The sequence below is a fragment of the Homo sapiens genome, chromosome 2 (genome assembly GCF_000001405.40).
Source record: "Homo sapiens chromosome 2, GRCh38.p14 Primary Assembly".
Lineage (NCBI taxonomy): Eukaryota > Metazoa > Chordata > Mammalia > Primates > Hominidae > Homo > Homo sapiens.
The window spans coordinates 155905503-155922658 of NC_000002.12; the positions used below are offsets into that span (position 1 = coordinate 155905503).

Sequence of the window (17156 nt, forward strand, 5' to 3'; positions counted from 1 at the left end):
GCACTACATTGATTTTATAGTACAGTGATTCCATAACAGGGTTTTTTTCCTCACCTGAAATAATTTTATTTTCTATAAAGTTATAAAATATTGTATATCAGACTTTGTTATTTATTTCTCTTAAATCATAAAACCAAAGGAAAGGTAAAGAGGAAGAACAGTTAACCTCTGGTGACCAAAGGTACACTTGATCTGTTATTTTGTATTCTATACTCTTCAAAAGAGCAATATAAACAGAATTATTTATGCCCAGCAAAATGTTGCTTAATTACTTATGCACCACTGTTTGGTTGTATTTTAAGCTCTCTCTACCACCCACAGGCAGACGTTAAACAGCTGCTAAAAGCTAGCTTTAGTCTTGCCTGTTTGAAATTAGCATACTTGAGCTTTGAAAAAACTTTGTTACCAATTTACATATGCATAGAGACTGATATTTAGACTCACCATATGATATGTCCCTCAAGAGCTTTTCTTATTGCCTCCATCCTCAGGTCTCAACCTAGAGACTGTAAATCTAGCAGGTGATTAATTCTATACCCTTGAGAAACTAGCAATTAGCACTTGCAACCAGTAAAAAATTGTCATTTCAAAACCCTGTTTACTATGCCCATGTATTTTCTATGAACTCACAGTTAACTCTAAATAGATGGGTATGGCAATATCTGCAGACATTTCTGTCTCTTTATGTAAAATATAATATTGCCACCAGCTAATCAACCTATTAAATATATATAATTGACATTCCTTTTTAAATATAAAATAGCAAGATGTAGCAAGCATGGAAACACTATACATGATGTTTTATGTTACTAAACCTTAATCAGTTCATTTCAACATGACGACTTTGTAGGGTTTACCTGTTCTGTGTCAATTCTTATCTCTGATAGCTGAAATTACCGTACTTCCAGATGTTCTTATGCATTATTGAGGTCTTCTGCAGTAGATGCTGGAAAAGGTAAGATAAGGTTTTATTTCTTTGTAGTAGTCACAACACTGAGATCAAAGATGGTAAAGTGCAGTGCTTAGTATTGAAAACTATGATGAACCTAACATTTATTTTCAGGTCGCAAACCTATCATAAAAACTGCTCATCAATCTTTAGTTAACCATTTCATGTGTAATCTGTGAGTGGAGCAAGAAAATATTTTGAAAGGTTTAAAAACACATATTTGACCACATAATAAACTAATGCTAATTATGCATATATATAACGCTATAGTGGAAGCTCTATCTTGTGAGACAAGAGTGAAAATTAAAAAGAAAATAGGGACATTAAGATTATTTCATAGAATAATTTGCACTAAATAATTCACTTTGGTCAGAATGTAAGAATCTGTTAAAGAATATATATACATATATACACACACACACACACACACACACACACACATGCACATATATATATTTTTAAATGGTTTCTGATAAAATCTGCCAGTACTCCAGAGAGTGCTAACTGAAGTGAAAACAGAGTAATTCCATTTTCTGAAATGTTTTCAGTTCAGTTCAAGGGAAAGAAGATAGGTGAAAATAGCTAACATGCATGCTACCCGCAGTGTGTTAACTTACTATAACCAAAACATTTCATTTTGAATTATATGTTACACATTTGTATGATTACAAGAGTAAAAAGGAAAAAAAAATGCCATTTAGAATATCTTGATTCCTAACTTGAGTAATCATCAGTTAACAGATAGCATTACTTTAAAAACAGGCAATAAAAATTCAGAAAACCCATGAAGGAACAATTTAGTTTCCAGTATTAGAACACCAAGGGCAATGGAGCTCCTTTATTCAGAACAGCAAAGCTAGAAGAAAATGCAAAAAGATCTCTTAGAAAAGTGGACCTTATTTTCTCCAGTTGCACAGTCATTAGATGGTCTGCTAAAAAGGCCTGCTAGACTTTCGACTAATTACATCATCGGATCATCATACAGTTAAAATCAGTTGCAGGGCACTCATACACAACTAAATCCCTGTGTCTAATTACTATTTTAGTCTCTTTTTCCTTGTGACATGTTGGTGATAGATCATTATTTTTTCAGCAATTTGTTCGCATTTATATGCAATATAATTGGATCTGATTAATTATTATGATTAATGACTGCAGAATTTCCTTGCAAAGCTATTAATACTGGTAGTATCAAATGAAAGACATGGACAAATTAAAGCCAATGGATTCCTGTTGCTCGCACTTGCAGCGCCTGGGCTAAAGTAACCCTTTGCTGTTCCCTAGCAAACAGAAAGTGACTGTAAACCTGAGCTCTTTGAATGGTTTTCAGAAGCTCATAATGTGTGAAGTGTTTAGGATGCTTTTGGGCTTATTTAGGTGCATTGTAAGTGAGTAATCTGGCAGGTCTATGTTCAAGGAGCTCAGAGTATTATTGATTTGAAGTAGTAAGAAAATGTGTAGCATTAAAAATATGTAGAAAGCTATTAAGAAATAATTGTCGTGAAGGATATTTATAATTTCTCCATTTTCCTTGACAAATATGATATAAGGCACTTAGTTAACTTCTATTAAATGTCAGATTACAAAATTACTAAAGGACATATTTATGTAGAGTGTGTTTTGTATTTTAAATTATATTCTGGCTTAGTAGTAGGATATTACATGTAAAAAAAGCAAACAACGACTGAGTAGCTTAGGGGATCGACTTGCCTGTTACCTCTGGGACCTGACTTTAAATCTGGCTTTGAGCAAACTGAAGAAAAATCATTTCAATCTAATGGCAGCAGCAAATAAAAAAAATCAGATAGTTTGAGTTCCTTGAAGGTGGCAGCAAGCTTTTTGCTTTATGAAGTGTCCAGAATTCTGGGCTTTAAAGAAAAGAATTGGGTTTGGAGGATGCATGCCTCATTATAAATTGTAAAATCCAAAAGATGTTGAGTATAATTTGCATCTTTCATAAACAGTACCAGCCTTGCTCATAGCATGAGTCTTAACAGGGGGCATGAAGGCTTGAATCTTGCTGAGAAAATGGATTCATTCCGTCTGACCCAGAATTGGTAGTGGTGCCTGCATTAGCATCAAGATTCTCAAAAGAGTTAAAATATAGCTTTTTAGTTAGATCCAGATGCAGGTATCTGATAATATTCAATGTGATAATGCTGGAAAATTAGTATTTTTTTTAACTTAAACAACGCTTGCTAGCCAACCCAATATATAAATGCAAGAGATGAATTTGTTTTATAAACAACTGTAATTTTTCTTTGATGATTCATATTAAACTCACCAAAAAGAGAAAGAAGGTAGCCTAAAGGTATCATTGTGTGGAGGTGAATAGCAAAACATTGAAAGCACACCTGACTCTTTAGTCATTTTAGTTTTTCCCAGACAGTGAATTCCTGTGAAGCTTTCACACAATTATTGGTATTGAAATGTAAAATTATTTATTCAAATTCACACATTTTAAAAGGTATGATTTGTTTAATCATTATAGAAATGATTAAAACAAATGCAAGAACCTCATTAAAAATCTTCTAGTTTCTACCAGAATAAGTAATTTGGCCTATCAGAGTTCTTAAATAGGCCACCAAGACCACCACCACCACCCCATTCCCCGGCTGAATGGCTTTGTATACATTATTTATATAAGGATAATGCTAGTTTTTTTCTGAGAGTAGAAAAATGGGATTAATGTGAAGATCAACACTGAAGCTATTTTCATGAGCTCCTGGTATATATAAACCACGTTTATGGCAATTACTTTAGAAATTAGGGCTGGCCTTCACCCCAGGTGAGAGTGAGAGTTGTGGTGAAAGGCAAGAAACTTGTTAAAGGGTTTCATTTCTTTTCCTAGGTAAGCATCACCGCCCAGGAGAGAGAGGGCACTCGCATACCTGATAAATAACGTTGGGTGTTCACAGTTGCTAATATGAGAAAGGTAATGAAACAATTAGTAACAGAGCGATTAATGACATTATTAAATATACTGTGTATGAATTGCCATCAAGAAAATTGGTTTTGAAATATATTTTGTGGAAAAATGCAACATAAAGCAAATAAAACTGCACACCATCCAGGACATCAATAAGAATAGTCCTGGGCCCTGGGTGCTTACAATTAATGTAGATGACCTATCTGTCACTACAAGGGAACACCTTTCCATTCTCCTCTTATCTTGGTTTCAGGTAGTCACTTCCAACTACTTGAGAAAAAAATATACACATAACATTCATAACTGTAATACCTTGTAGCAACATGTATCCCAATGTTTTACATACTTTCACAGGAGAAATTTTATATTTGACATATGTATTGTTATTACAGAGACAAAGAGACCCTAGTGTTGTGTCTGATATGTATGACCAAAAGACTCCTCAGAAGAAGACCATTTAAATTTTAATCAAACAAAAGAACAAAATGATTAGAATCACTTTTTCCCACATTACTATTTTAGAAAATAATCTTATTTGTCAATTATTTAACGATTCAGAGCCAATAACAAATCATCTAGCAAACCAGGAGAAGAATCGGGAGTAATACTAGGTCTTTGAATCTGATCTCAGCCATGGACTGACAGCAAACCATTTAAGAGGCAGCATCAACTCACTGCATCCTCTGAGGGATAGAATCTCTAGAAGCTGCTCTCTGGTGCACTACACTCTAGGTAGTCTGTCTTAATTCTATTCTAACATCAAGAGTCTATCCAAACAAGGAGGGCTCTGAGGAAACCTGATCAAGACTGAACAAGGATTAGAAACGTCTCTACCCATTATTGAATTAAACTACTGTGTCAGAGTATAATGCAACCCTGACAGGAATGTCGAGTCTGGGTTTGCCCACGCTTACCTATACAATAGAGTATAGAGCAAGGCGTGGCTAAAATACAAGCACAGCAAGGGGTATAAATCCTTTCAATTTTTCAAACCCAATACCATGATTTCCATCAGTTTTTTCTACCACATAGTGAGCAACCTAAAATAGCTGGTGACTGCTTCTTTTCTCTGGAATACTCATCCTTCCTAGCCAGTGATGAGTCCATAGTTGTTGTGTTTTTTTTTTGTTTTTTTTTTTTGTATAATTGCAGTATAGAGTCTTTTATTTAGAGTTTTTAGACCCTTTAAAGACCATCTACGTCATACTCATCATTTTGTAGATGGGAAAACAAGGCCCAGAGAATTTAGATAGTTTGCACAATATTATATAATTAATAAGTGTCAGGGATCAAAAAGACCCAATTCTCTTGGCTATAAACCTATAGTCCTTTCCAATATACTATACAGTTGCTGACTGATATTTTAAAATATGACATTTAGAGCTCAATTTTTAAAAATTCTTGTCAGTCAGAATTCCCTAGGAGATTCATGTTTTGTCTAAATAACCAATACTCTAGCTTAAGTAAAGAATATCTTTTACAAATATTCCTCTAGAAAATGAAACGAAATTGGAAAAAACCTAAATATCCACCTAACAGGAATTGGTTCAATATATGAAATACACTTATATCGTAAAATGTTGTTAGATAATCTCAAAGAATGAGATAACTCTTCTTTTCATATAGCAGCATGAATAAATATGCATTATATGTGGTTAAATGTTCCAAATGCAAGCAGTAAAAAAGTATGCAAAGAATGATCCAGTTTTTAAAATTTTTAATTTGGTTATATAAGATGAGAATGTCTAGCATAATGCACATCAATGTTTAATCATGGGTCTCTCCAGGGATCCTAATGGTGGGAACGAGAGGGATAATTTCGTGACATGCTACATGTATTTCTGGGCTGATTTTTTTTTAAAACAGTAAGGAGATATTTGCTTTTATAATTAAAAATTAAAAGGTAAAACTAAAGAAATTGCATAAAACCAAATTCTAAATTTTACAGTCTTACATGACATTTACAAAGAAAAACTTTGTGGGTTTTTTTTCCAAATTCTTATCACATTTCTGAGGTGCAGACACTTTTTGGTAAGCAAAGTGTTTGGTATTTTTTTTTATTTTTTTATTTTTTAAATACCCCTCTATTTACTATTTTTTCTTCATTAGGAGTATAATAACTAATGATGGCTGTATAGTTACAAAAGTTATGTAGTCTTACATTTTTATCAAAAAATAAAGAAAAGGTTATTATATTTTATTATAATAAATACAGTGCTAGTTTATGCATGAAAATGATGAGTGAAAAAAGAAAAAGTTAAAGACTTTGTCTTTGGCTTTTGTTTTATTTGGTTTGTAATTATTTAATATCACTTCCAAGAATGTTGGTGCACACTCTTTAGTTGAAAGATTCAAAAGACAAAGCAATTTAGTTGTTTGGCAACTTTCTATGACTCTGCCATGCAATTTTAACATGCAATATTTCACCTCGTCTATTTTCCACATATACAGTATATTCTTGGAATAAAAAGATGTAACTTCATGTGGAAAATCATACTTAGTATGTAAAATCAAACTTGATAGGAATTTGGAATTCCTCAAAAGAAGACATTCCACAAATACTACATTTGAAGAGCCCCAGAATTGTCTATTTAATGTAGAAAACAGTATCAGAGCATCAGCTTTTAAACTCTGTTCTCATCTAAAGTCTGTTATAGCTAAGATTTTTGAAAAGTTTTAATATTATTTTTACTTTTGCTAAAATCTCTAACAACAAAACAAAGTTCTTAATGTTACACCTTAAGAATACACATTACATTTATAAAAAATAAAAACTTCTAAAGCAAAACATGTACCTGTAAATCAAACTATTGATGAGAAGAGAGATGTTGTTTCGTAAGTGGTGAATACTTCTTTTCTTTTCTTGATGCTAGGAAGTAAAAAAAAAGGTTTTTTATATATTTATTCTAGTAGATAGTGCAATAATTAAAAATTTAACAATTCCATATTAGCAACACTGTTTCTATTTAAATATGCGGTGTTCGCTTTACAATTACTTAATGAAAAGGACAGCCTCATTTTATGGAGATAACATTGCTCCCCTAAATCACAAAGCAAAAAATAGAAGACCAAATCAATAGCCAAAATAAAGCTGATGTATTGCTGATCTCCATTAATTTTTTACTTTGAAATACCATTTACATGTTTTGGTGTTTTAAATTTCAGCATTTTAGATAAATATTGACCAGGAAGTTCCCATGTTTTCTAATCAAATTTTTACAATAATTACATTATATAGAAATTGTTGTGCTATATATAGTTGTTCATCTAAAACATTGATGATAGTACATTACAAAAAAGAATAAGATCAGCAGCAATATTAGTAGCCAGAAATGTGTTCCTGGATATTCTTGTTTCTCTGAATTTTTTAATCCCACAAGAAACATTCAGAATGATAAACATGCATTAGAAATTGAACTTTGTAAATCAAGTGTTTGGAATTCAAGAACCTGAACATCAAAGAAGGTCAAATGGCATACTGTTTCACAGAGCCCTAAAACGACTAAATATGTGGAAAATCACATATTAAGATGCAAGTAAACACAATTTACTAATGATCATCTCTAGTGACATTATGGCTTTGCAAGTACACAGGCTTTGCTTGTATGCAGATTCAGGAAAATAACAGTGATTTGCCATTTTACCTGATAGAAGTTGCCTTAACTTCCAGTTCCATCGCTGTGAAAATACTCCTTCAAGCTTTTCTTACAATAAGAGGAGGATGGCTCATCTCCAAATGTTGAGCTGAGACACTTGAGTATGTTCTGTTAGATCAAAAATTGCAGAAATAAGCTTATTCACTAGGAAACCTACTTGTAGAGAAATTGGAAAACCAAGAAATGTTAAGAGGAAATAGTTGTAAAACACAATGGTGGTGGAGATATAGAGTAAGAATAGGTATATAACATCTAGGTGTAAATTTGAAGGTAAATATTTTAATAATGAAAGATTCAGGAATGAGAATTTTCTGATCGCACAATGAAGAACAATACAATTTGCTCATGCCATTGGCAATACTTGTCAAATAAAACCATATAGTTTGTGAACAGGAAGTATATTAACACACTTCACTTTTTCTTCAAAGATGTACACATGAAATCCATAAAATCAGAGGAAAATTTCTCAAACATGTGCATGCTTTTCTGGTGAATTTACTAAACCAAGAATCTAGTCACTCAACTCTGAATCATGGCAAAAATTTATCTCCCAAGTTACTGCAAGATTAGCTGGGTGCAAAGAAATGTCTGCTATCTAAAAAAAAAGAAAAAAAAACAATAAAAGAACTAAGAATCAACTTTGCTTTCTAGAGGCACAGAGACCAATTTTAGTCATCTCATCTGTTTCAATATATGTATGTATAAAAACAAGCCTTCTACACCTTAGAGCCATTGGTGCAACAATGACCAGAAACACACTTGGGAAAGCTATTCTATGATATTTCGTGATTGCTCTGCCTGTCCATTTTTGTGTCAAACTGCTCTTGGGGCAAAGACTGTAAACATCTGTATTAGTTTGCTAGGGCTGCCATAACAAAGTATTATAGGCAGAGTGGCTTAAACAACAGAAATTTATTTCTTACAGTTCTGGAGGCTGTGAAGTCCAAGATCAAGGTGTCATCAGGGTTGGTTTCTCCTGAGGCCTCTGTCCTTGGCTTGCAGATGGGATGGCCATCTTCTCACTATGTCCTCACATGGTCTTTCTCTGTGCTGTTGTACCTCTGGTGTCTCTTTTTACCAATATGCTCTTCTTCTAAGCACATCAGTCCAAATGGATAATTGTCTTCTCTAGTGGCCTCATTGTAACTTAATCACCTCTTTAAAGTCCCTATTTCCAAATGCAGTCATATTCTGAAATACAGGAGGTAAGGGTTTCAACATATGAATTTTGAGAGATACAATTTAGCCCATAACAGCAACCTTTGCACCCTATCCTAAACATCCATTTTAGTCTTTCACAGTCCCCTACTCTGCAGAAAATGTTACTTCATTGTTCTGAGTTCCTCAGTGTACAATGGGAGTCCATATTGTAACATTATTTATTTTAATCTCTGTTAAAATACAATAGTTACTTGTCACTAGTTGCTTAGGTATTTCTATAAACATAGTAACAAATACAAAATGATTTTGAGAAAATTGATGCAACTATATACAGAACTATAACAACTTGAATGAATTTCTCCATTCTTAGTAATTTTATCCTCCTACTGCTTTCTGAAATGCTCTCATTAAACTAATAATCATTTTAAATAACAAGTGGGTTTACATTTCTTTTTTTGTTTCTATCTTTTCATTAAAGTAGAAAGTATTATATTTTTGTTTTTACATCTATAATACCTACAATTTGTCATGTATAGGAAACATATTTGTGGATTCAGTAATTGTTAACTAGTAGAAAAATTTATAATTAGTGCTTAGAAGAATAAACAATTATTTATATATATACATATTACATGACTTGGTGGCTTCAGGAAAAACAAAAAGTTAAAATGATTATTTTTTAATTTAAGAACATTTTCAGACTGGAAGGTTTTCTATATTCATATTAACCTATGTTATTTTTCACTTTGGAAGAATTTTTAGCAAACCTTTCTTAAGGAAGCTATTAGCAAAAGATAACCAATTTATGAATGTATTTAGCTTCATGAAAATGTGTTTAATGAACAAAGACTGCTTAATACTTTCTAGAAAATTATGGGATAACTAAAAATATTCTTAATATATTATTACTAATATTTGTAATTCTCTAATATTTGTATTACATAATAATGATTATTAGATATAGTGAATATTGAACAATCACTAAAAAAGTGACTTTGATATTTGCAATAATTCCCTAATTTTAATTTCATTATTAATATTTGAAAATATGATAATTGCTGTCCATTATGGTATGGTTGAGCAATATTCTTAAAGTTTTAAAATGCATACATGATATGATAAAAAGCTCCCTATAATAATTAGTCTCAAAAATGAGCCCCATGATTTAGCTCTCAAAGGTATGCAATAGACCACATACATTAACAGCACCCTAGTGGTCTCTATGGGTCTCACTGACTTCACTGTACAAACACAGCACAAAGATCATAAATAACACTCACACAAACTCATTCACTTACATTAATATAAGTCTTCATATAAAAGACAACAGTAGCCACTACTCCCTATAAGGGGCCAGATCTAGCTATTTCATCCTAAAAATAATCACTTATTACTGCTAATTAATAATCTGAATCTTTTTAATTTATTTTTAAAATTCTAGGCCAAAAGAACATTTGTTAAAGAAAAAAGCTACCTAAAAAGTTGTAGCTAGATGAGTTGATTGTATTATTCAGAATATAAAGAGCAGAGCTTTGAAGTTTCCACGGTCAAACTGTATATATCGAAAAACACAGGATTCCAGGCAAAGCAAACAAACTAAACAAACAGCACTAACAAAACTATTCAAAATAATCCCTTTTTTCTAATAAGAAGTATCAAGTTTCTATATTTTTAATTTGTTACCCTCTTTCAGACATATCAAACATCAGTCCACTTTTTTATGTGTGCAACTTTCTATTTCATCATCATCTCATCAAAAGTACAATATAGGTTTATGTAAAACTTCAGCTGAAATGGCCAAATAAGGTTGGTAATTAAAACTGAAAACCAGGCTGGGCACGGTGGCTCATGCCTGTAATCCTAGCACTTTGGGAGGCCGAGGCGGGCAGATTGCCGGAGCTCAGGAGTTCGAGACCAGCCTGGGCAACACGGCAAAACCCGTCTCTCCTAAAACAGAAAAAATTACCCAGGCATGGTGGTGTGCACCTGTAGTCCCAGATACTCGGGAGGCTGAGACAGGAGAATTGCTTGAACCCGGGAGAGGGAAGTTGCAGTGAGCCAAGATCATTGCACTGTACTCCAGCCTGGGCGAGAGAGCGAGACTCCATCTCAAAAAAAAAACAAAAAAAACAAAAAAAAACTGAAAACCAAACTCATACGTTATATGGCATAGAAAGGTAGCACCAGCCCTGTCCTCAAAAATTTAAAGCAATATTTATTTCTTCTCTTTTTGACTAGGTACACTGTGACACTAAATCTTTGTGTCAATGGAATAACGTACTTTTTAGGGGAGAAAAAAGCAGAGGTGTATGTATTTACAACTTTGAAATCGAATAGGATTCTGTTAATAGTTCAGAGATAATAGAATCTATAGTTGAGTTGACCCAAAGGAGGTGGACATTAAACATCATGGCACTAACATAATAAAGGAATTAGGATGCATGATTTAATAAAAAATTTGTTTACCCTGATTGTATTCCCTATAAATGTTCAGTCTGTTTGAGGTCACCCAATACTTAGGAGTAAGAAAATGTCTAGCAACCTGTTGGGAATCCTAAGAAAAGCCGCAACATCACTTTTCTTAAAATGACAGTATACACAAATTGTAACTATAAAGTTGTAAAATTTGTAATACTCTCCTAAAAAATTCTGTCTTCCTTTGGCATGACTTTTTATAGGACACCAGTGCATTATCTTGATATCAACAAAACAGTTTTCCTTCCTAAAATGGCCCCAAATTTAGAAAAGAGGAAATGAATACTTAAGCATATGTATATCAAATCTAATAAATGAGTGTGCGTGTACGGTGGTGGTGGAGTGCTGGGGGAGTTTCTTTATCCTTAAACCAAAGAAGTTTGAATTATAATATTGGAAGTATTGGTTTTTTTTCCAATTTTTTTCAGGAGGGCTTCTTCATAATGAAGGCATTTTCTGTAAATGACGGATCAGTGAAGGCATCAGTTTGAAAATGTAATGTAGAGGGTACGTAGAAGTAGGAAAGGCAAGAATGAGGCTCATAATCAGTTAGTGCCTTTGCATTGTATTAGCAAAATACCATATCATCAATCTCCTTTCTTTTTCTGTGTCTGACTCTGCCACCTTCTTGGCGTGCACACCCGGAGGAGCATAATTATAGGCATGTAACATATGCATTGTGACTTTGAAAGTATGGAATTTAAATTACTTCAGTACATTAATCACCCTTACCCTATAAGTCCATTTTACTGTGCAAATGAGGAAAACCTACTGCTTGTTTACCATACTTTGAAAAACTTAAAAAAAAACCTGTGCATTGCTTAATTATTGGATTTGTAAAAATATGCTGTGATCAAATGAAATGGCCATTTAGTTTGTTCAAAGCTACTTTCCATAATCCATTACACAGCATAAATTTCACATAACTGCTCACATAGCAACTTGTAAATATACCCGTATATTTCCTTCATTTTAGCATCAAAGGAAAAAAGTGAGTAAAGATGTAGCATGTAAATCTCTTTCACTTACAGCTTTTCATTAGAGTTAAAAATCTCAAACTATTAGAATTAACTCAATAAGCCTACAATAAATTTATGTTTGATGGTATTTCCCTCTCCCTTTCTGCATCACTAATATTAACAAGCAAAAAGCTTGGGTATCTGGTAAATACAACAAATTCAACAAGATGTAAATACACTAGCATCCCTCTGAAACCTGAAGTAGTCATCCATTACATTCAAAAAACCTAACACAAGCAGAAGTCCAAATCTTAATCTTATTTCCCTAAATAAAATCTTATTTCCCTAAAAAAAATCTTATTTCCCTAAATAAAATAAGGGAAGCTTGGAGAACATAACTGTGGCTTTAATTATTATCTTCTGAAAAGTAGTACAATGTGCTCTGGGGCATGAACAACTAAGAAAGAGTAGAGTTCAGCGAGCGGTTCCATTTATTTCCTTCTACCAATTTAAGGGAGGAAAATGTGTAAGAGTTCTGAAAGAGAAAATAATCAAAACCAATTAATACACGCTCTTGTTCATATAGTTCAGATGGTGCTAGTCTCAATCCATCATCCATTAGATACCAGGTCCTAAAGTATTTTTATTTTCAGTTTCAAATGGCTGTTAAATAGCTAATGCTAAAGTGAATTTCTCTAGTGAAAATCATACTACATTTGAGAAAAAAACATCCCTTTTCCTCACCGCCAACTTTTCAGTTCTGTGGGTTGAAATGTGAATCCTGATTCTATAAAATTCACCCAAAAATCTATACTTTTCATCTATTTTTTAGAATTTTATATATTTCCCAAAAACTACTGACATTAACTTAATAAGATTAAAATAAAACAAATCAAGACTATATGGAGAAGCACTGTCCAATTGAAATGCAATGAAAGTTACATGTGTAAGTCTAAATTTTCTGGTAGCCACATTCACATTCAAACAGCAAAAAAAAAAAAAAGTGAAATTAATCTCATATATTTTTATTTAGCCCAGTATATTAAAAATATGATCACTTTACTATATAATGCACATAAAATGCTATTAATTAAATTTTTTACACTTTTATACCTAATCTTGGAAAATCAGTATATTTTACAATTAACCACATCCTGATATTACACTAAATTTTCATTAAAAATACATAATTTGTATATGAATTTCACAGAATTTACAGATGAAACAGTAGATTTACACACCCAAATTTCCAAACACATTTTGAAGTTTTTCAATAACTAAACCAAACATCAGATTTAAATTTAAATTAAAATAAAATACAAGTAAAAACTTATTTCTGTAATCACATTAGCTTCATTTTAATTGTTCAATATCTACATACGACTAGAAGCTGCCATAAAGGACACAGCATAATAGAGAAATAAGAAAAATTAAAACCTTAATAAGAAACACTGATGGCGGCCAGGCATGGTGGCTCACACCTGTAATCCCAGCACTTTGGGAGGCCAAGGCAGGCAGATCACCTGAGGTCAGGAGTTTAAGACCAACCTGGCTAACATGGCAAAAACCTGTCTCTACTAAAAATACAAAAATTAGCCTGGTGTGATGGCACGTGCCAGTAGTCCCAGCTTTACTCGGGAGGCTGAAGCAGGAGAATCCTCAGGAGGCTGAGGCAGGAGAATCACTGAATCTGGGAGGCAGAAGTTGCAGTGCGCCGAGATCATGCCACTGCCCTCCAGCCTGGGTGACAGAGCATGACTCTGTCTCGAACAACAAACAAACAACCACAACAAAACACTAATGGTTTTATTATCTAATTAAAGACTGAATACAAGATCCTCTCGATTTCTGTTATCTTTGTAACTTCTTGGTTAGTATGTAACTAAATTGCTATATATATAAACAGTATATAAACCCATTCACATTTTAAGTCTCCAGTTTATTGGTAATTTCTACCTCGTATTTAGGCAAATGCATTTTGAAGTTTGTAAAAATATTTAATATGATTGCCACTGAAAACATCTGAGTAAGGATTTTGGAACACAATTAAAAACAAATTAACACTGAGATAACATCTTCTTCATAGAATCGTAAATGCTTGTAGAGAAGGTCAACTATTTGATTTATTAAGTAATATTTATTATATCATTGAGTAATTTAAGTATGAAAGTATTTTTTCTGTCTTTTATGTTATCAAAGTCCAGGACAGTAAATTTAATACTTCTTGGTGATATCCCACAACATTGGGTAAAGTCATAGCGACTGACAAAACTATGATGACAGAAATAATTGTCTGTCACATTTTGAGAATGTATTTGTCAGGCATTGTATTAAGCTGCTTTATATTCACCATCTAATACTGAAAAACAAAGCCACTATGCATTCAGCATTGTTATCCTCATTTTATAGGTAAGAACATCAGCATCAAGGCTTGGAGAGGTTCAATAAAAGGCTGAAGTCAAATAGTTGTGTGTTTGAACTGGGCTTCAAATTTAGATCTGCTTGATTCCCCCAGATAAGTTTGTTATTACCTCACAATATTATTATCTCCCATAACTGTCTACTTTCACACAATATCTTAAAATGCTTACTTCATTCTGTATGTTTTCTTGTTTGTACATATAATCTGTCAATTTGACTATGAATTATTTTAACCATGCCCATGTCCCCTTTGAATTCTACACTTCATGTAAAAAGTTTTCAGTAAATTCTCATTTTGCTGAATTGAACTGAAACCTGAGTTCAAGTTCCCTACTCTGTTGTCAATGGCTTTTCCTTAGTAATTACCAGTGGTTACTCTTTTATTCTCTCTGAATTCCCATTTCCTAATATATATAAAATAAAAGAACTTGATTATATTCATGGTTTTCAAAATTGTATTTTAACAACAGAATCTATTATTTCAGGTAAATATTGTGTGGAATCACAATATGAAAAATAGATGAAAACTGATATATATGGTATTTAACTTCCCTTTCCTCTTGGTGGCCTCAGAAGAAAAATATAGGTCTAGACAAAACTATAAACTAAATCACAAGTATGGATGCTTAGTCTTAATCTTGTCTAGGTCCATTTACATCCTATGGATTTTTCTTAAAATAATATTTTTAAAGTACAAAATAAACTATGTATAAATAAAAGGAAACCGATCATACTGATATTTCATTCAATCATCTTACGGGTTCAATGTAACTCAAGTTAATAACTCCATCAACTGATCTTTAAAGTTCTTCTAGCAACTATATGCACAGGTGCAATATATACATAATGTACATATAGGAGCGAACAATTGATTAATACTCACTTTATCAACAAACATTTTTGTTCCTAGTGGGTGCCAAGCACTATTATAAACACAGTGAACCAGATGATGGACTTTATGCCCATGGACTTAGCTTATGTTTAGAAGTAGATTTATAATAAAATGTCAAATACATAAAATTACCAAAACAAGGACTTTTGATATTACTGTAATAGTAACAGGAAGACATCTGACTATTTTAATCTGCAACTGTGTGGACTTGAGCAAGTTACTTATTCTCTCTGTGTTTCAGTTTCCTTTCTGTAAAGTCTATATTATAATAATAGTGCCTACTTTTTAGGTTATTATTAGTTTTATCAAGATAATATTAATACATGAAAAATGCTTAGAAAAATGTCTGTCATTCTGAAAGCAATATATAAATGTTAGCTATTTAATAGGGAAGTAATCTAAGCATATATAAAAAGAAAACAATTATATATATATTTAATATCAACACATGTACATTTTCAGTATACAGTCAGCCCTCTGTATCCATGGGTTCTGCATCTGTGGACTCAAGCAACCATAGATCAAAAATATTTGAGATAAAATTGCATCTGTACTGAACATATACAGACTTTTTGTTCTTTTTATGACTCCCCAACAATAGAGTAAAACAACTATTTACATAGCATTTACATTATATTAGGTATTATACGTCTAGAGATGATTTAAAGTATACTGGAGGATGTGCGCAGGTTACATGCAAATAGGACATGATTTTATATCAAAGACTTGAGCATCCTCAGATTCTGGTATTCATGAAAGGTACTGGAACTCAACTCCTGCAGACACCAAGAAATGTCTGTATTATTATTCAATTCCTATTATTTCCAAGTTTTTATTTCATATACAATTATTAGAAATGTTTCAAAATAATTTTATGTACGTTTTGTCAAGAAAAATGTGAAAGTTGTATTGCATACTCAATTCTAGGAATTGGGGTTTTATGAAATCATTCTTGGCTGGTATTTATTTACACTTAATTTTCTAGTATTGGGCACCTTTACAATTACATAATGACTCCCATATGCCTACATAGAAAACAAGACTGCCCATTGAGTTCATTCATTTATCTTTGTCTTGGAATAGATTGCTTTTTCTTTTCTCTTAGTTGATAAGTTGAATGTGTTTTCTGCTATTATCTCTAAAATATTATAGTAATTCATGTTTCCCTTCAGTTCCAATCTCTATCACAAATTTCTCAATGTCTTATATCATCTTTCAACTACTTACATTCATAGTCTACATTTATTTTTAATAAACATTTGCTGAAGGTCTATTTTTAACTCAATAAATATGACAGAGTTCATGTTTGCTACCAAATTATGATGCCAGATAGTGAAGCAGCTTTAATTGATTGTGAATATTACAATCTTCATATTTCCACTGTCATGTCCGGACTTTTTTTTTTCTTTTTGAGACAGAGTCTTACTCTTGTCACCCAGGCTGGAGTGCAATGGTGTGATCCTGACTCATTGCAACATCCACCTTCTGTGTTCAAACAATTCTCCTGCCTCAGCCTCCCAAGTAGCTGGGATTACAGACGTGTGCCACCCGGCCTGGCTAATTTTTGTATTTTTAGTAGAGACGGAGTCTCACCGTGTTGGCCAGGCTGGTCTCGAACTCCTGACCTTGTGATCCACCCATCTCGGCCTCCCAAGTGTTGGCATTACAGGCATGAGCCACTGCATCCAGCCCATGTTGCCACCTTCGAGGTTTC

At 32.7% G+C, this 17156-nt stretch overlaps 1 long non-coding RNA gene across 5 annotated transcripts in view; it reads right to left on the bottom strand.

Annotated features, from left to right (window-relative positions):
* LOC105373703 (uncharacterized) overlaps nt 1-8811 on the bottom strand; it is a 158249-nt gene extending 149438 nt beyond the window's left edge. For 3 of the 5 annotated variants that reach the window (XR_001739749.2, XR_001739751.2, XR_001739750.2), the window contains exons 1-4: nt 8458-8811; nt 7523-7642; nt 6674-6747; nt 858-946 (exon numbers count right to left, since the gene is read on the bottom strand). This is a non-coding gene — a long non-coding RNA (uncharacterized LOC105373703). The remainder of the gene's footprint in view (nt 1-857; nt 947-6673; nt 6748-7522; nt 7643-8457) is intronic. The other 2 variants (XR_007088689.1, XR_923501.3) reach the window with 1 other exon arrangement.
* Between the last annotated feature and the right edge of the window lie 8345 nt (nt 8812-17156).